General features: G+C 39.3%; 1 protein-coding gene and 1 long non-coding RNA gene across 4 annotated transcripts in view; one reads left to right on the top strand and one right to left on the bottom strand.

Moving 5' to 3' along the window:
* Positions 1–19,843, bottom strand: part of LIN52 (lin-52 DREAM MuvB core complex component) — a 116,538-nt gene that overhangs the window by 57,593 nt on the left and 39,102 nt on the right. Inside the window, exon 6 of one of the 3 annotated variants that reach the window (XM_017021764.2) lies at positions 15,248–15,807. The exons of the other annotated variants lie outside the window; for them this stretch is intronic. Within the exon in view, the coding sequence (XP_016877253.1) occupies positions 15,806–15,807 (2 nt within the window). The 3' untranslated portion in view covers positions 15,248–15,805. Of the gene's footprint in view, positions 1–15,247; positions 15,808–19,843 lie in introns of those variants that run through there. 3 annotated transcript variants of the gene reach the window in all.
* The window catches only part of LOC105370563 (uncharacterized), a 45,899-nt gene continuing 27,395 nt past the window's right edge, over positions 1,340–19,843 (top strand). The window contains exon 1 of the long non-coding RNA XR_944024.3: positions 1,340–3,677. This is a non-coding gene — a long non-coding RNA (uncharacterized LOC105370563). The remainder of the gene's footprint in view (positions 3,678–19,843) is intronic.

Below are 19,843 nucleotides of genomic sequence, written 5' to 3'. Positions count from 1 at the left end.
GGCACAAAATTACAATTATACAGGAGTTCTGGTGTTCTGTTGCACAGCAGGGTGACTAGTTAACAGTAAGGTATCACATATTATGAAATAGCTGGAAGAGAGGCTTTTGAATGTTCTCACCACAAAGAAATAATAAATGCATGTGGTAATAGATATGCTAGCTACCCTGATTTGATCTTTATACAACATATGTGAATTGAAATGTCAAACTGTACCCCATAAACATGTACAATTATAATGTATCAATTAAAAATATGAAAAAATTATAATTTGTATAGTTAAAAAAAAACTTCACAGTAAATTCTTTGTTAAAAAGTGCATCTGCTTTTTTGGCGGACTATGTGGAGACAGAGGCTTCTCATTCTGTTGCCCAGGCTGGAGTGCAGTGGAGCAATCACAGCTCGCTGCAGGCTCTGCTTCTTGGGCTCAAATGCATCCTCCCACTTCAGCTTCCCAAGTAGCTGGGACCACAGGGGCACACTGCCACACTTGGCTAATTTTATTGGTATTTTTTGGCAGAGACAGGGTCTTTCTATGTCGTCCACGCTGGTCTCGAACTCTGGGGTCAAGTGATCCTCCCACCTTGGCCTCTCAAAGTGCTGAGATTACAGGCATAAGCCACTATGCCCAGGCTCATTCTGTTTCTGTCAGAGTAAGATAGGAGAGTATAGAACACAGAAGACACAAAATAGTGTACAAAATAAGAAAGATGTTCTGTTAAACTATAGGTGTTATGCACAAAGCTTGTAGGAAATTGATAATTTATACTATAAACTATTTTCCTATTTCAAATGCACATCCCGCTTGTCCTAGCTTCAGGGAACTGATTTGTGTATGCTCTGGACTCATTCCATAGTCTATCTATAGTAAGAAACTTTATCTGAAATTTGTCTATTTGCTTATTAGATTTAGTCTTCTGATGACTTATGGAAAGTCCTAACCCAATTTGATCAGAAAGCCAAAACGTCACCAAGAGGAAGCATAGGTCCAGGGCTGAGCAAAGGTTTTTTGTAAAGAACCAAACAGACTGAATGTGGCCCACAAGCCTAACATAACATAAGTATGAATGGGACGTAAGGATGTTATGTTAGGCTTGTGGGCCACATTCAGTCTGTTTCAGATTCTTCCGTTTTTTGTTTTTGTTTTACTTTTACAGCCCCCATAAAAACGTAAAAAACATTCTTAGCTCAGAGAATACAAAAACAGGTTGCAGGCCATAGTTTGCTGACCTTTGGTCTAGAGCAGTGCTGTCCAATGTGGTAGTCATTAGCGACACATGGCTACTGAGCATTTCCTAGAGTGACTGAGGAATTAGATTTTAAATTTTATTTTTAATTAATTTAACTTCAAACAAACACATGCAGTTAGTGGCTACTGCTTTGAATAGTTTAGGTCTACAAGATCTCCAATAGCCCAGAACAGCCCCAGAAATCTCTGTATACCTACATCCCATGAATCTAATAAAGGCTTGGACAAGAAGTAAATCAGTTATTGTTATTAATAATAGCCTCCAATTATTAAATTAAAGATTGGGCATCAATTCAAATGACTAACATCAAGGACAAGAAAAGCACTGTATAAAAAGTCTGAAACAAAACTAGTTTGCATTTTGCAATTTAGTAGTATGACATCTCTTCAATATTTGGTCAAACCTCAATTTTGAAGTGTTGAGAATGGGACTAAAGAGCTTCGAGTTAAAAAAAAGACTTGCAATGCTCCCATCTTTGGCAGATGTGGAATTTCTACCATTCAATTTGCATACAGATTCTCTTATTAAGACAGATGCAACTAAAATTAAGTTTCTGTTTGACTGAGAAGACAACTGATTTCTCCTATCACTGACCTGAAATGCTCCTGGAAAATTGCTTTGCTTCATTCATCACACTGCCACTCCCAGCAAGGCCCTTAAAGTTCATGAGGCACAAACTTGCTTTGTTAGCCAAGCTGTTACACAAGAAACCTAAGTCCTCATTTCCACGTGCTGACAAATCATTTCCCAAGTCCATTAATGCGTTCAAAACTTGATTCCTGGAACTTCTGAAGTAGAAAATTAGGGGAGAAAACACTCATTCAACTTTAGAGGAAGCCGCCAGTCAGTGCCTTGGACAACACTCATCAAAGGCTATTTGTTTTCCCCACCTATCTGGGACAGAATACTTCTCATTTAACTAAGCAACAAATTAAAAGCACACAGTGGGGTGCATATCACTACACATATGTCCGGCTAATGATGCATGACAAGACTCACACTACCTCCCCCCTAAAAGCTTTACCTCCAGAATTTCCTATTTTAAAACAATACTGGACTAAAATGTAACATTCCTGAAGTAAGGAAAATCACTTCATGTAAAAGCAGAGTTTGAACTATGGAACACAAGTCAGTGGATGCAACCTGCTTGTATGGTAAGGCTTCATTTATAAGGTCCAAGTCAAACTATCTACAAAGAGTCTTGAATTGGTACATCCATATAGTGAAATCCTATGAAGCATTTGGAAAACAGTGAAGCAGATCTATGTATACTGCTGTGGAAAGATATCCAAGACATGTTGTGGGGTCAAAGATAAGTCACAAAACAGTATGTATATTATGATTGCATCTGTGTATGGTAATGTATATAAACTTTACTATGTACAGAAAATGTCTGGAAGCATCCATGGAGAAACTGTTCGTGGCAGTTACCGCTCATAAATTCAGCAGATAAGGATTTTACTTTTCACTTTATATCCTTTCATGTTATTTTAAAATATTCTTAAAATCAAGAGCTTGTATTATTTGTATAAGTTTAACATATTCCTTTAAAAGCACAGAGAGATCTTTACAGTGGTTTCCTCCAGAAACCACTTATTTACCATTACAGTGTTTGATAATTGAAATGAAAAAGTTAAAACTGTTCCTTTTGTAGTTAACATCATTGTAATGTTCCTACGATAGCTTTTATTAATGAATTTCCATGGGGGACAGAAGAGAAAAACGCACACAACGGTATTACAAAACAGAAAAAAAATAAGGCACTTGCTAGGACAAGGCAATCCACAAGTGCCAACCAGCTCCAGGGCCATAAAGATCTCAGGAGAGCCATCACATTTCAATTACCATCACTAACATTACTTATTATTTGGCCTGCTCCAGTCCCTAAGGAAGGCAGCTTGTGATGATAATACCCAGCCTCTTCTTGTAAAACAATTCATTAGGCAAAGCAGAACAGCTGGGGCAGCCACGTGCGGGTTCTTAAAGCACCGCCCCACTGGGACCTCTGGCCCAGATTTCCCTTTTCGTGACGGACAGTCACCACCCCTCTGACAGCTGTAGAGTCCTCCGGGGACACTTCAGGTTTAATCAGTACTTCCTGCACTGGAGAGGGTCATTTGATTTCTAACATAAACTAATGGCAATCCTGCTTACAGCAGGTTACACCAGACATCAGATAAGAGGCTTTAGGGCATTTTTATCTTGTTCTAATGCTCGAGAGTTAATGAGGCAGCAAAAGATATTGTCATAGAGCCCCGGTGTAGCTATATTATCCAATAAACAGACTCTTTCCAAGACAGGTTTAATATGGATCGAGGAGGTAAAGAAGGCTAGCTTAATATTGATCCTACTGAGAGGATGAGAATCCAGTCACCATAACTAGGGCAAAATCATGCACATTCTGCAGTAGACAAAGTGCTACAAGAAGGTAAGGAGTCGCCTTTAAATACTAAGAGTAAAATGCTGCTTTTTACATTTAAAGCAGCAAAACTCTACTAGACTTATTTGGTGTTTTGGGCTAAGTTATTTTTAAAAAGCTTTTAAGTGAATCTATTTTTGTGTTTTTGCTGAAGTGTTCTTAGGAGTTAAATTTTAAATTAGTAATAAAGCTATTGTGGCTTTATATTAATTATATAATCTATACACTATATATTATAAAAGGGATAGCTTTTTTACTAGCTATGAAGCATGTTTTATTACATTAAACCATAGACTGCCTTTAACTTCTAAATATCACCACAGTCTACCTCATACAGGCTTCAGAAATAATTCAATCATCCATTCAACAACACCAATAGCCTATTATAATCAAGCCTATGTGAAACACAGTGAATATAAAAATAAACTCTTGGACTCACTATGCTAGCTGCATAAAAGAAAATATTACTCTAGCAATATTTTTCTTATATCTTAGAATCTGTTTTGGTAAACATACACAAATCAGAAATCCAAGTGTTTCTCTTCTCCATACTGGAAATATCTATAGCAGGTTCTGCTCAGCAATTTTAAAAACTGACCATTTCTTGAGTGGCTTGTTCCCTGAAGATGAAAAAGAGCTGATATTTTCTAATATTTATTTACTTGGAGAAATAGCCAAAGGGAGGGGGAAAAAAAAAGGTCTGCAAGATCCTTTAACAGGAGATGTTGGGCACGCAGTCACCCATTTATGGAGCACCAAACAAGCTTAATGTGGTAAAGAAAACAAGATCACTAAGTCCATACATGCACCTGTAAAATCACTAATTCTGAGCTTCCTTCTCAACACATCACCTCACATCCTTCTACTGACCCCACTGCTCTTGCAAAGGTCTCTTGTCCCCTGCTATGGCAGAGAATATTGGCTGCCTATTCCAAGATCCATGTTCCCTCTTCCTCTGTATTAACAGATAGCCAACTTTTTTGCTACCAAAATTATAGCTCAGAATAAACAATTACATTATTTTGCAGCCAGGCCAGGTGATTTAAATTCTGTGGGACTTCCAGGAAGGCTGCTTAAAAAGAAAAGTGTCAGCTGTGTGGGATCCCTTTTTTAAATTAAATTCCTACCCCACCTTCTTGCCTACAATTCAGGCATGATGGCTAGAGCTCTAGCGTGTATAAAGTATATTTAGGATGGAAGGATGGAAACTTTAGTCCTTGATGACACCTTTGGAACTGCCCTACCTGCTAGGTGCATCTACCTCCAGCTTTCCTTTTTGTTGAAAAAAAAAAAAAAATGCTACCTTGTGTAAGCCACAATTATTTTAGATTTCCTGTTATATATGGTTGCACTTTATCATAATTAACAGACTATATATTCACAACCTTTTCACCTATATAACCCTGATAGTAGTTTAAATTGTTAAGTTATTCATTTCAAAGATGCCTTTTTTTTTTTTTTTTGAGGCAGGGTCTCACTCTGTCTCCCAGGCTGGAGTGCAGAGGATAGGGGGTGGGGTGAGGGTGCAATCACAGCTCACTGCAGCCTCACTCTTGGACTCAAGTGATTTTCCCACCTTAGCCTCCCAAGTAGCAGAGACTACAGGCTTGAGCCACCTCACCAGCTAATTTTTAAATTTTTCTGTAGAGATGGAGACTCGCTATGCTGTCCAGGCTAGTCTTGAACTCCCGGCCTCAAGTGATCATGCCACGTTGGCCTTCAAAGATGCTTTAACAACACCTTAGCAAACAAAACTGAAGTTTTATAATGCATATCTCAGTTCCACACTAAATTGTATTCTCCTAGTCACAAGGGCTTAAAATCTTGAAATCACTTTGACTCATCTCTCTAGTCTGTTACAATTTATCAATTTTCCCCCAAAATATCTTATCCATTCTCAAAAATTCCTTCCCATTCTGAAGTGTATTCTTTCCTCTTATATACAAATATTAGACATCAAATTCTATTTCAAGTTTCATCTCTTCCAAGAGGTGTTCCCTGGATTATTTACCTCACTTTTCCCTCTGTTTTCTGAATGTGCGGAACACATGCTCAGAAAGGGAGCATGGTGTGAAAAACGTTAGATCAGGCAGAGCTGTAAGGCCAAGTTAAAGGTTTTTGACTTGATCCTGAGAACAATGAGAAGCTGTTGACAGATTTTAAGAAGAAGGGAATAAGGTCACATGTCAATTTGTGTTTCAAAAATATTACTCTGACTGTGGAATAGAGTAGTTATTGGAGAAAATATCAATTCTACAGGTAATTCATTTGGAAGAAGGAGAGGATACCAGAAATAAAGGAGCTTGATAAAGCAGGCTTATTGTAAAGAGAGAACTCAAAACTCAATATTCTAGAAGAAAATGATAGTCATTTGAGTAAATATATGTTCACCACAGGAAAAAGCTGGTAAATATTTATTAAAAGAGCTACTGTGAGGCCAGGCGCGGTGGCTCATGCCTGTAATCTCAGCACTTTGGGAGGCTGAGGCAGGCGGATCACGAGGTCAAGAGTTCAAGACCAGCCTGGCCAACACAGTGAAACCCCGTCTCTACTAAAAATACAAAAATTAGTTAGGCATGGTGGTGCGTGGCCTGTAATCCCAGCTACTCGGGAGGCTGAGGCAGAAGAATCACTTGAACCCAGGAGGGAGAGGTTGTGGTGAGCTGAGATCGCGCCACTGCACTCCAGCCTGGGCAACAGAGCAAGACTCCATCTCAAAAAAAAAAAAAAAAAAGAGAGCTGCTGTGAAGAATTTAGTGCTCAATGTTCTCTTATCAAGAATGTAATGGCATTTACAATGCCAGAACTTGGACTGGATCTTGGTTTTAATAAAAATGCTACACAAGATTTTTAGGGACAATTGGGGAGGTCTGAATGTGAAAATATATTAGATTTTTTAAATTATTTTTGTTGGATGTGATAATATTATATAGAAAACTATCCTTATTCTTAGGAGATGTGTTCTTAAGCATTTAGGGGTAAAGTGCCATGATGTCTGAAATTTACTTCCAAATGGCTAAGGAAGAAGAGAATATCAATACGTAATATAGATTAAAAAAATATATATATATATATATTCATATATAAAATATACACACACAGAGGGGGGTTTGCTGGGTGATCAAAATTTTTTCATAATGAACTGTTGGAGGAAAAGAAGACTTAATGACTTTTCTTCTTAATTTAGTGAAGAGGGGCTTCTTTCCTGACCTATTTGTGGCATTGATATTCATTTACTTGATAATTTGAAATAAGTTTTTAAAATTATAGTTCCAAGGAAATCCGGGATTTTAAAAAGTAAAACATCACATAAGGATTTTAACCCAATAATTATCCCTTCTACAAGTAAACAGATCAATACTCTAACGCTCCCTTTAGTTTCAAGCCTGGCTACTACTGGATTCCATTCTCACTCTGATTAAGGGGGGCAGCTGCTGGTCCTCTTTCAACCTGGAGACATGTGATTGAATCATTCTCCAGCACCTATATTTATTAAACCTTTAATACAAAGTTATCAATCCCTCTTGCAGAGTCATTTCAAAGAACAGTAGATACACAATTTATTATCCAAATAATATTTTATTGTATTGTTCTTTTCTTTTTTAATAACGTTTTCCTCCAACACTGTGAGACTGTTGGCTAATTAAACCCTTGTTTTTACTGAACTTAACAGCTGACAGCAGCAGAAATGGATGCAAACAACTATAAACTATTTTCCCTCCTATCAGAAGAAAAATGCTTCCCCTGTGAAGCTAGAATACATACTTTCCCCACCTTTCAAACTATTTTCTGGGAAGAGAAATTCTTAGTAATAACAAGCTTTTCAACCTAAGCAATTAGAAAGCTTATTTCTGTAATCAGACCCAGCTAGACTTCTCACTCTTCTTTCAACATATTGACTGGGCATACAGGTGAAACTCCTTAACTTGGTCCAAACCTGTGCTTACAATCAGATTGTATAAAATTAATAAAAGAAAAAATAAAGGTCTGCATCAAAATGAATGTTAAGCACTTTCAACTTGCGCATTCACTGAAGAAAAAAATTTAAGGTCCTAAAACAAGGAGTTACAGCACTAGCACAATAACTCTAGGTTTTGTTAGGTTAATTTTAGATTATTGTATTTGTTTGCTACATTGGACATAGCAAGTGATACACTAGAAGTTTCCTCAAACTAGAATTAGGTAACAATGTAATTTCACAAGCTTACTCCATGAGGAATACCATTAGCATGGACTGAAAAAGAAAAGGAGAAAACTATCTCAATAGTTTAGATACCCAAATAGTTTTTTATTGTTGAGTGTGCTAAAAACCAATGAACACTAAACTTTACAAACATAAACCTTATGGTATGTGAATGATATCTCAACAAAGTGTTATTAAAAAAAATGTTTTAAGGAGTTAAAAAAAAAAAACTCCCTGTTCTAAAGGAGGACAAGAAATGACTGACAAAGGGGCCTGAAGAGATTATCCCTCTTGCTCAAATAAAGTAGTTTATCCCTTGTTAAGTAAGAATAAACTCTACTATGGCAATAGATGTGATAAGGAATTAAAACCACAGATAATTTCAAATCTTATTCTTGCAACAATTTTAACCACACTTTTCACCACAGCTTCTGGAAGGATGCCAAACAATTTTGTATCACATCACCTCCTTTAATCTTCCCACTCCCATGATAAAAAAAAATGGCTATGGTCAGTTGCAGTCAAAAAGGAATGTAAGCAGACGAGAACTTATGGAGAAATCAACTTAATTGCTCAGTATATTATTTGGACTTGTGGGCTGACTATAGGTTGATGCTTATCATGCATCTTATCCCCTCACTGTTAAACTCTTCTGTCACCTACTCTGCTTTTAAACTACCTCAAAGAGGCTGGGTGAGGTGGCTCATGCCTGTAATCCCAGCACTTTGGGAGGCCAACGCGGGCAGAACATGAGGTCAGGAGATCAAGAATATCCTGGCCAACATGGTGAAACCCCGTCTCTACTAAAATATAAAAAATCAGCCAGGCGTGGTGGTACGCGACTGTAGGACCAGCTACTCGGGAGGCTGAGCCAGGGGAATCGCTTGAACCCGGGAAGCGGAGATCGTAGTGAGCAGAGATCACGCCACTGCACTCCAGCCTGGCGACAGAGCAAGACTCTGTCTCAAAACAACAACGACAACAACAACAACAAATCCCTACCTCAAAGAAGGTTCAGGGTATGCAAGGATAGTTTCAATTCTTGAGGGATTTGTTGAGTATGAAATGTACTAGAAGAAAACAATGTGTTTGCTTTTCCATCTACTTAGAAAGGACTTCTCTTAATTTCAGTTTCTTTCAAAATTACTATAAGGAAGAAAACACTAAAGAGAGAGATCCTAAAGAGCCTTTTAAAGACAGTTATATTAAGAATTGCTCCTTGTGACTGCCTTTCTCATGGTAAATGGTTGTGGGCACACCACCTTAAGCAGATGAGAAAGAGCCAATAATAGTTGAGAATTAAGATAAGGCAGATGTAGTCTTCACCTTAACTCTAGCTGGCCCACTCTTGAGCAGATATGAGTGCTCTAAAAGTGAAACCCTGTGTTTTAATTCTAAGAAAAGGAAAATGGGGGAGGGGGGCCAGAGGGAACCTAAGTTTAATTATCAACAGTGATAGGAAAGGGAAGTCACCTTAAAGGTACATTATAAAATGAAGTTAGAAAGGATTTTTCACATCTACCATATCAATTCAAGTTTCATTTTCATTTAGGAAATGAATATTGTCTGTCCATGTTCTATCTTCAACACACAGTTATCCTAGGAGGTCATTTGATCTCAAACAAACAAGAGAGGCCAAGGTCCAGTATCAATTCCTATCCCACCATTCCTACCTAATCTCCTAGCAAGTTAATGCAAATCAAAGCAAGCACTTCAGTGCTGCTGGTAGTGAAGCCTGTTCCTTTCCCAAGAGAGGCCTGTAAAACAGGACAGTCACTGACAGCAGTACAATTACTGACACAGATACAGACTTTATGGACATGTTTATCTCTGCTGTAAATCCACACTCTCTCTCCACTCCGATTCACAAGTCATAAAGAAATTGCAGATAATGAAAAAGTTGGGGAAATTTACAGCATGTCGGAAACCTCAGACAGCCAGAAGAAATTAAAGAGCTGACTAGGGATAAATCACACAGGTACAATTAAAACTTCCCGTGTACCTCCTTCATTTCCAAACTGAGGCACAATCCAATGGAGCTGATGAAAAGTTGAGGTCATGACTCTGCAGGCTGTAATCATTTCTTAACTACATGTTAAAAATTAGCCAACTCATGGGTCATGTGTAAATGCTGATTTCTTGTTCCTATCTTGATTTCCTCCACTCTCCACTAAAAGAACCCACAGAGCAATTCTGTCTGTAAACAGGCCAAATTGCAACAAGCAATAAATGGAAAGGTGATGTCCCCTCTCCCACTGCCATCTCTGAAGGTGCAGGACATCTTTTACCATCGCCACTGTGGATTGAGCATTAAAATGAGAAAGTGGAGCTACAATGGGTGAACGAAATTGGAGGTTTCTTGTTCCCTGATAAATAACCATTCTGAAGGTTTCATTTGATCTCTTTTCAACATTCCAAAGGAAATTTTAAAGGACTGTTATGTTTGATACTAGAATAAGAATTACTTCTGGAGATACTTATTTTTCAATACTGGACTGAGTTCATGGCTCAGACTGTTATGTAACCATCTCTGCATGCACTGATTAATGTGTTAATTAATGTGCAGCTCTTGTTACAATAAAGCAAATCAGAAAAATACCAAAGATAAGAATTAATATCTATTTCTTAAATAATAAGGCTTAACAGATCCCCACTACTGAAAACTAGAAAGAATAAAGTGAGTTAATTTTTGGTACCTATATTCTAGAAGGCTTTTAACAAAATAGTATAGGAAGGGAAAAAAGGAACATTTTATCACATGCTGCTCTCTTCCATCTTCCCCAGCTTATTTAGATGCGACTAGCAGGTTTTAAAAACACCAACCCAATCACAAGATTTCTCTGCAAAGCAGAAATGTAGAACAGTTTTTACCAACTAACTTCTACATAACTGGACCAAATCAAGAGTGTCATTAAAGTTATACACAAGTCAATACTAATCTTTGTGTATCTCCATAGGATGAAGCCTCAACCAAATTAGCTCTGATAGATTTTGAAATTTTGAGCCCTGTCAAGAAATGGGTTGTTTTTTTTTTTAAAGATATGGAGGATGCAATTGACATGGTTTCGATTTTGCTCCTATCTGACCCCTTGTTGATTTGAGGTCCGTTTTACACTTCACAGAACCCAAATGTCATTTTCATTTTATATATTAAGATTTTATTCTCCTTGGAATAAAAATAGTTCTAAGGAAATGCTAAGAGTTTCAACACAGACTATCACTACCATAAAAAACTTAGGTCATGGCTGGGCGCGGTGGCTCACGCCTGTAATCCCAGCACTTTGGGAGGCCGAGGCGGGCGGATCATGAGGTCAAAAGATCGAGACCATCCTGGCTAACATGGTGAAAACCTGTCTCTACTAAAAATACAAAAATTAGCTGGGCATGGTGGCGCATGCCTGTAGTCCTAGCTACTCGGGAGGCTGAGGCAGGAGAATTGCTTAAGCCGGGGAGGCGGAGGTTGCAGTGAGCTGAGATTGTGCCACTACACTCCAGCCTGGCGACAGAGTAAGACTCCGTCTCAAAAAACAACCAACCAAACAAAAAAAATTTAGGTCATATGTAGTGCATGGATCTCAATTCTATTCACCCAATAAGCATAAGATGGTCCTTGATCTGCTTTTCTTTATAACAAAAAGTTCCTTAAGCTTCCAAGTGTCTTAAGTGTCAGACTGGTGTCCAGTATCAGCAGGAACTGTGAAATAAAGGTTATTTACAAGCTCCAAGAAGCAAATCATATTTTATCAAAAGAGCATTTGAGTGAAGCGAAGAGACATCCACTGTTACTATTATGAGGCAATGAAACCCCTGGATTAAGAATCAGAAGACCTGGACTCCAGCCCCAGTTTTACAAATAACTGTGACTCTGGGCAAATAATTGAAGCTCTCTGAACCTCAAGTTACCTCATCTGTTTAAATGGGAATAATAAAGAATAGTAGTGAGAATTAAATGAGTATACACATGTAAGAAACATAACAGGCTCATAAATGTTAACATGCCTTTCCCTTTTCATGATCTCAAGATTCAGATGCCAGGTTCTGTCACTAATGAGCTTTGTAGCTGTCTTTAGGTAAGTCACCTAAGATCTTTAGCCCTCTGTTTCTGCATCTGTTATATTACAGGGTTGTGACTCTATCTCTAAGATTCCTTCCAGCTTTAACATGCTATGATGATTGATTCTATCACTAAATTACTAGTTGGCCCTGGGAAAGTCACTTCTTTTAGGTCTTAGTTTCCTCATCTTTAAATCCTGGAAACTCAACCAACAGAAAAACAGACAAGGACTATAACAGTATAACAGAAAATTCATAAAAGGAGGAAAAACAAGTGGCCAGTAAACATTACTTTATTAGCAACCAAGAAATGCGTATTAAAAATACTGAAACATAATTTTTCAGCTATAAAATCGGCATGTATTAAAAAGTTTAAGCCTACGGCCAGGTGCGATGCTCACGCCTGTAATCCCAGCACTTTGGGAGGTCAAAGCGGATCACCTGAGGTCAGGAGTTCGAGACCAGCCTGGCCAACATGGTGAAATCCCGTCTCTACTAAAAATACAAAAAGTTAGCCAGTCGTGGTGGCAGGCGCCTGCAATCCCAGCTACTCGGGAGGCTGAGGCAGGAGAATCGCTTGAACCTGGGAGGCAGAGGTTGCAGTGAGCTGAGATCATGCCACTGCACTCCAGCCTGGGCAAAAAGAGTGAAACTCTGTCTCAAAAAAAAAAAAAAAAGTCACTTAAATAGCAAAGTTTATTCTTGGATATCCCTCAATCTCACTTAGAAACACCATAGCACTTAGGAATTCTAAGCTGACACCAGGGTTTACTCAAGATTGCTAACAGCCATGAAAAGCACAACTATACTGGACAATGGATGATGGGATTTGGGCTGGTTATTTGTTGCACGATAGCCTAGAAGGCAAATAGACAATAGGAATACTTAAGAATAAAAAATTTAATTTGTGGGCTGGGTGACGTGGCTCACACCTGTAATCCTAGCACTTTGGGAGGCCAAGGCAGGAGAAATGCTTGAGCCCAGGAGTGGGAGACCAGCCAGGCAACAGAGATCCTATCTCAATAAATAAATAAATAAATAATAAAAATTTTAATTCATAAATTATGTTTAAATTTTTGGTTGTCAATTCTACAATTAAAAGCCTATTTAGGGCCGGGCACGGTGGGTCATGCCTGTAATCCTAGCACTTTGGGAGGCCAAGGCGGGTGGATCACTTGAGGTCAGGCATTTGAGACCAGCCTGACCAACAAGGCAAAACCCCATCTCTAAACAAAAAAAATTAGCCACGCGTGGTGGCACATGCCTGTAATCCCAGCTACTTGGGAGGCTGAGGCACGAGAATCACTTGAACCTTCCGGGTGGAGGTTGCAGTGAGCCAAGACCACTGAACTCCAGCCTGGGTGACAGAGTGAGACTCCGTCTCAAAAAAAAAAAAAAAAAAAAAAAATGGCCAATTTAGGCTAGGTGTGGTGGCTCATGCCTGTAATCTCAGCACTTTGGGAGGCCAAGGCGGGCAGATCACCTGAGGTCAGGAGTTTGAGACCAGCTTGGCCAACATGATGAAACCCTGTCTCTACTAAAAATATTAAAATTAGCCAGGAGTGGTGGTACACGCCTGTAATCCTAGCTACTTGGGAGGCTGAGGCAGGAGAATCGCTTGAACCCAGGAGGCAGAAGTTGCAGAGTTGCAGTGAGCTGAGCCACTGCACTCCAGCTTGGCAAAAGAGCGAGACTGTCTCAAAAAAAAAAAAAAAAAACCAAAAAATGCCTATCTAATAAATTCCTCATTCCCTAATATGTGTTCATGTAATTTATTTATTTTTTTTGAGACAGGGTGATATGGTTTGGCTCTTTGTTCACATCCAAATCTCATCCTGTAGCTCCCATAATTCCCACGTGTTGTAGGAGAGACCTGGTGGGAGATAACTGAATCACGGGGGCAGTTTCTCCCATACTGTTCTCCTGATAGCAAGTGGGTCTGCATGAGATCTGATGGTTTTAAAAGGAGGAGTTTCCCTGCCCAAGCTCTCTTTTTGCCTGCCGCCATCCATGTAAGACGTGATGTTTTCCTCCTTGCCTTCTGCCATGATTGTGAGGTCTCCCCAGCTATGTGGAACTGTAAGTCCATTAAACCTCTTTTTCTTCCCAGTCTGGGGTATGTCTTTATCAGCAGCATGAAAACAGACTATACATAGGGTCTCACTCTGTCCCCCAGGCTGGAGTAAAGTGACATGGTCACAGCTCACTGCAGCCTCGAATTCCTGGATTCAAGGAATCCTCTTGTCTCAGCCTCCCAAGTAGCTGTGACTACAGGTGTGTGTCACCACACCTGGCTAATTATTTTTTGTACAGATGGGTTCTCACTATGTTGTTTGGGTTAATATCAAACTCTTGTGCTCAAGTGAGCCTCCTGCCTCAGCCTCCCAGAGTGTTGGGATTACAGGTGTGAGCCACTGTGCCCGGCTGCATGTAATTTAGAAATACAGAAAAGCAGTCTGGGATCCAACATATAAGCACCTCTTCATCTTCCCACCAACTCACAAACCTGATCTTCATCTATCCTCTCTCATTTCCCTTGTTATACAAGAGTAGACAAAGTAGCTCTCTTCCAATCTAAAGCCAACACATCCATATTCTAAGTGCTATGCCTTCAAACCCTCTCAGAAACCTTACTTATATTTGATTCACCTGCGCCCTCTCAGAAACCTTACTTATATTTGATTAACCTGCATCTTCTATCGTGGCATTGAGATTTAAATATATATTAAGTCTATCATCCTAAAGCAACTAAACTCTGACTCCACTTCTCCCACTAGCTTTCACCCTTTGTCCCTCTTAAGAGTCAAACTCTGAAAGAATTATCTCCCTATCCTGTTTCCATTTCCTACCTTCCACTCATTCCTCACTCCATTTCAAACTGCCTCCACCATCCCACTAAAACTAACTCACTCATTCATACATTTAACTGCCTAAACAATGTCTCCAGTTAACAACCAAAGCCAAACCCCATGTCAAAAACTAAATGCATAATCTTTCCTTACAATCTGTTCCTCCTCCAGGGTTGTTGTTTTTGTTTTGTTTTGTTTTGTTTTTTTAGACAGAGTCTTGCTCTGTTGCCCAGGCTGGAGTGCAGTGGTGCGATCTTGGCTCATTGCAACCTCAGTCTCGCAGGCTCAAGATTCTCATGCCTCAGCCTCCTGAGTAGCTGGGATTACAGGCGTGCACCACCACAGCAGGCTAATGTTCTGTACTTTTTAGTAGAGACGAGGTTTTACCATGTTGGCCAGGCTGAACTTGAAATCCTGATCTCAAGTGATCTGCCTGTCTCAGCCTCCCAAAGTGCTGGGATTACAGGCATGAGCCACTGCACCCAGCCACAGCGTTCTTTAGTAAAAAGCTTTACTGAGATATAATTCACATATGATAATGCACATATTTGAAGTGTATAGTTTGGTATGTTTTGACAGATGTATTCCACACTACAGAGGCAAGATCCTTTTGAGTCCTCCCTGGTGTCCTGTGAATGATGAGGTTTCTCCAGTCCAGTGGGAGTAGGCACTATTACTGGCCCAGTGGTGCCAGGCACTGTTCCTTCCAATCCTTTTGGATGGTTCTTTCTTCATCCTCAAGAAGCTCCCTCACATGAATGTGCTGATCAGTCCTCAGCTAAATACTCCAGGAGGACCCTCTGTGGATCTCTCTTCTTTCTCTGTGCCGCCCTCTCCTCTCCGGTACTCTGCTGTCCTGTGAACTCTAGCTGTCTTGGCCTCTCCACACTCTCAGCTCCATTTCTTCAACTCAGGAAGCCCACCAGCCTCTGCCTGGGTCCCTCTCCCTGCACCACAGCCTGGAAATTCTTTCAAAGCAGTAAGCTTGGGGCAGTCACAAAGTTCACCTTTCTCTTTAGTGATTACTGTCCTTTGTTGCCTGATGTCCAGCATCCTGAAAATCATTATTTCATATATTTTCCATTTAAAAAAACTGTTTCAGGTAAGAAGGTGAATCTAGTCCCTGACATACCAAGTTGACCAAAAGCAGAGGTCCCTCCAATGTTCTTTGCATGCCACTGACTTACATGCTCAAGAGAAATCTAGGAGTCATCCCTGACACCCTTCTCCCCTTTCCCACAGCCAGTCCATCAAGACTTATTCTCTGTCCCAGACAGGCGTGGTGGTTCATGCCTGTAATCCCAGCACTTTGGGAGGCCAAGATGGGAAGAGTGCTTGAGGCCAGGAATTCAAGATCAGCCTGGGCAACATAGCAAGACCCCATCTCAAAAAAAAAATTAAGTTTAAAAAAAGACTTATTCTGTGTCCTAAGTCATTCTCAAATTAACTACTTCTCTCCATGTCCACTACCAGTACCCTAGTTCCAGGCAGCAGTCTTAGCTATTGCAATGACTTCCTACTTTATTTCCCTAGTTCCTCACTTGCCTTCCTGCAAACCATTTTTTACATGATCAGAAACTGAATATTGTTTGCTTAAAGCCTTTCAGTGGCTTCCCAGTGCTCTCAGTATAATACCCAAAATCCTTAGTAAACCTAAGAAATCTCACATGAGCCAACCTGTCTATCTCACCAGTCACTGTCTGAATTCATATTAGTCTTCTTTCAGTTCTTCAAAGACACTGTGCACCTTCCCACTACCAGACTTTGCTGTTCCCTTCTGAAAGCTCATCTCCGTTCTCTCCACCCAGTTAACTCCTACTCATTCTTCATACCGAAATATCTTTTTCTCAGGAGACCCATCCCTGCCCTCTTAGGCCTTGTCCCACATTGTACTTAGAACAATATCTCAGCAAATAATTATTTGTGTAAGGCCTTATCTACTAGAATGTTAGCTTTATGACAGCAGGAACTATATCTGTCTTATTTACTGCTAAGTCCTTGCTGCCTAGCATAGTACTCTGAAGTTACATAATAAATATTAACTGTATGAATTAGAAACACTAGGCCTTAATATAGTAGAATTTTAATGCTGTAAGGACCTTAGAGGTCTTCTATTCCAACAACTTCATTTTTTCAGCTCAGGAAATTGATGACCAAGGTCACGAAGCTAAATTTCTGATAAAGGTGACACTATGTAATAATATTTTAAATTTATTGGTAGCTTGCTAGGTGTCAAACACCATACTAGCTAGTTTTTGATTGAGGTGAAATTCACATTTTTGAAGTATACAATTCAGTGGCATTTAGTGCATTCACAATGTTGTGCAATCACCACTTGTATCAAGTTCCAAAACATTTTCACCTTCCCCACAAAAATCCCAAATCCATAAAGTAGTCACTCCCCATTCCACACTTTCTCTAGGCCCTGGGAACCACCAATCTGCCTTTTCATGTCTTCTGGATCTACCTACCCTAGATGTTTCATGTAAATGAAATCACACATTATGTGTCCTTTTGTGTCTAACTGCCTTCATATAGTATAATATTTTGAAGATTTATTTATATGTTGTAGCATCAGTACTTCATTCATTTGAATGGCTGAATAATATTCCACTGTATGGATATACCACATTTTGTTTATTCATTCATCTGTTGATGGACACTTGGGTTGTTTCTACCTTTTGGCTCTTGTGAATAGTACTGATGTGAACATTTGTGTAGAAGCATTTGTTTGAGTACCTGTTTTCAATTCTTTTGGGTATAAACCTAGCAATGGAATTGCTGGGCATATGGCAATTCTACCTTTTAACCTTTTGAAGAAATACCAGTTTCCCACAGGGAGTATACCATTTTACATAGCCACCAGCAATGTATGAAGGTTCTAATTTCACCATATCCTTGCCAATACCTGTTACTTTCTGTTTTTGTTTTGGGGTTTCTTTAATTATAGCCATCCTAGAGGGTATAAAGTGGTATCACCCTGGTTTTGATTTGGATTTCCCTAACGACTAATGATGTTGAGTATCTTTGCATGTGCTTGTTAGCCATTTGTATTTCTTCTTTGGAGCAATGTCTAGTCAAGTCCTTTGCTCATTTCTTTTTTTTTTTTTTAATACTTTAAGTTTTAGGGTACATGTGCACAACGTGCAGGTTAGTTACATATGTATACATGTGCCATGTTGGTGTGCTGCACCCATTAACTCATCATTTAACATTAGGTATATCTCCTAATACTATCCCTCCCCCCTCCCCCCACCCCACAACAGGCCCCGGTGTGTGATGTTCCCCTTCCTGTGTCCATGTGTTCTCATTGTTCAATTCCCACCTATGAGTGAGAACATGCGGTGTTTGGTTTTTTATCCTTGTGATAGTTTGCTGAGAAAGATGGTTTCCAGCTTCATCCATGTCCCTACAAAGGACATGAACTCATCATTTTTCATGGCTGCATAGTATTCCAGGGTGAATATGTGCCACATTTTCTTAATCCAGTCTATCATTGTTGGACATTTGGGTTGGTTCCAAGTCTTTGCTATTGTGAATAGTGCCGCAATAAACATACATGTGAATGTGTCTTTAAAGGCAACCTACACAATGGGAGAAAATTTTTGCAATCTACTCGTCTGACAAAGGGCGAATATCCAGAATCTACAATGAACTCAAACAAATTTACAAGAAAAAAACAAACAACCCCATCAAAAAGTGGGCGAAGGATATGAACAGACACTTCTCAAAAGAAGACATTTATGCAGGCAAAAGACACATGAAAAAATGCTCATCATCACTGGCCATCAGAGAAATGCAAATCAAAACCACAAATGAGATACCATCTCACACCAGTTAGAATGGCAATCACTAAAAAGTCAGGAAACAACAGGTGCTGGAGAGGATGTGGAGAAATAGGAACACTTTTACACTGTTGGTGGGACTGTAAACTAGTTCAACCATTGTGGAAGTCAGTGTGGTGATTCCTCAGGGATCTAGAACTAGAAATACCATTTGACCCAGCCATCCCATTACTGGGTATATACCCAGAGGATTATAAAACATGCTAATTTCTTAATTGGGCTGTTTTTTTGTTGTTGAGTTCTAAGAGTTCTTTATTTATTCTGGATACTGGCCCCTTATCAGAAATATAATTTGCAAAACTTTTCTCCCATTCTGTTGGTTGTCTTTTTGCTTTATTGATAATGCCCTTGGACACACAAAAGTTTTTAATTTTAATGAAGTTCAACTTACCTATGTCTCCTTTTGTTGTTTGTGCTTTTGGCATCATATCTAAACCCATGGTCACTTCTTTATCAAGAGCCTCTCAGCTTTTTTTTTTTTTTTTTTTTTTTGAGACAGGGTCTTGCTCTGTCACCCAGGCTGGGGTGCAGTGGTGCAATCTTGGCTCACTGCAACCTCCACCTCCCAGGCTCAAGTGATTCTCTGACCTCAGCCCCACTGAGTAGCTGGGATTATAGGTGCACATCACCATGCCCAGCTAATTTTGCATTTTTTGCAGAGATGGGGTTTCATCATGTTGCCCAGGCTGGTCTCAAACTCCTGAGCTCAAGCAATCCTCCCACCTCAGCCTTCCAAAGGGCTAGGGTTACAGGCATGAGCCACTACACCTACCCAGGAGCCTCTTAGCTTTTACTGGCTCTTTGATTTTCTATAAAATTTTAAAATGAACTTTCAAGTTTCAAGAAATTTTGGGGGATTGTAATTTGAATTATATTAAATTCACGAATGTTTCTGGGAGAAACTGAATCTTTAAGATACTGAGCTTTCTAATCTACTTACAGTATTTATTCATATTCACTCATTTGGTCTTTTACAAAGGCTCTCCATGAAGTGTTATTGTATAACTATAGAGATCTTACATACATCATTCTGTAGATGTACTACATCTTTATTACTGTCTGACATCTTAGATGGTATTTTTAATTTCTTTTTTTCTGTTTGTCTTGGATATAGAATTTGGTTAGTCTATTTATTTTGTTTCCAGGAACCTAGCTCAATTCTTTTTTGATTCCAGTAACATATCTGAACATTACAATTTGGAAATGAATAAAGTCCATGATCATCTTGTAAAAAAAATAAATAAA

This window comes from Homo sapiens, chromosome 14 (assembly GCF_000001405.40).
Source record: "Homo sapiens chromosome 14, GRCh38.p14 Primary Assembly".
In the NCBI taxonomy this organism is placed as follows: domain Eukaryota; kingdom Metazoa; phylum Chordata; class Mammalia; order Primates; family Hominidae; genus Homo; species Homo sapiens.
Note: the sequence above shows the minus strand (reverse complement) of the source record. Positions and strands in the feature narration are given on the sequence as shown.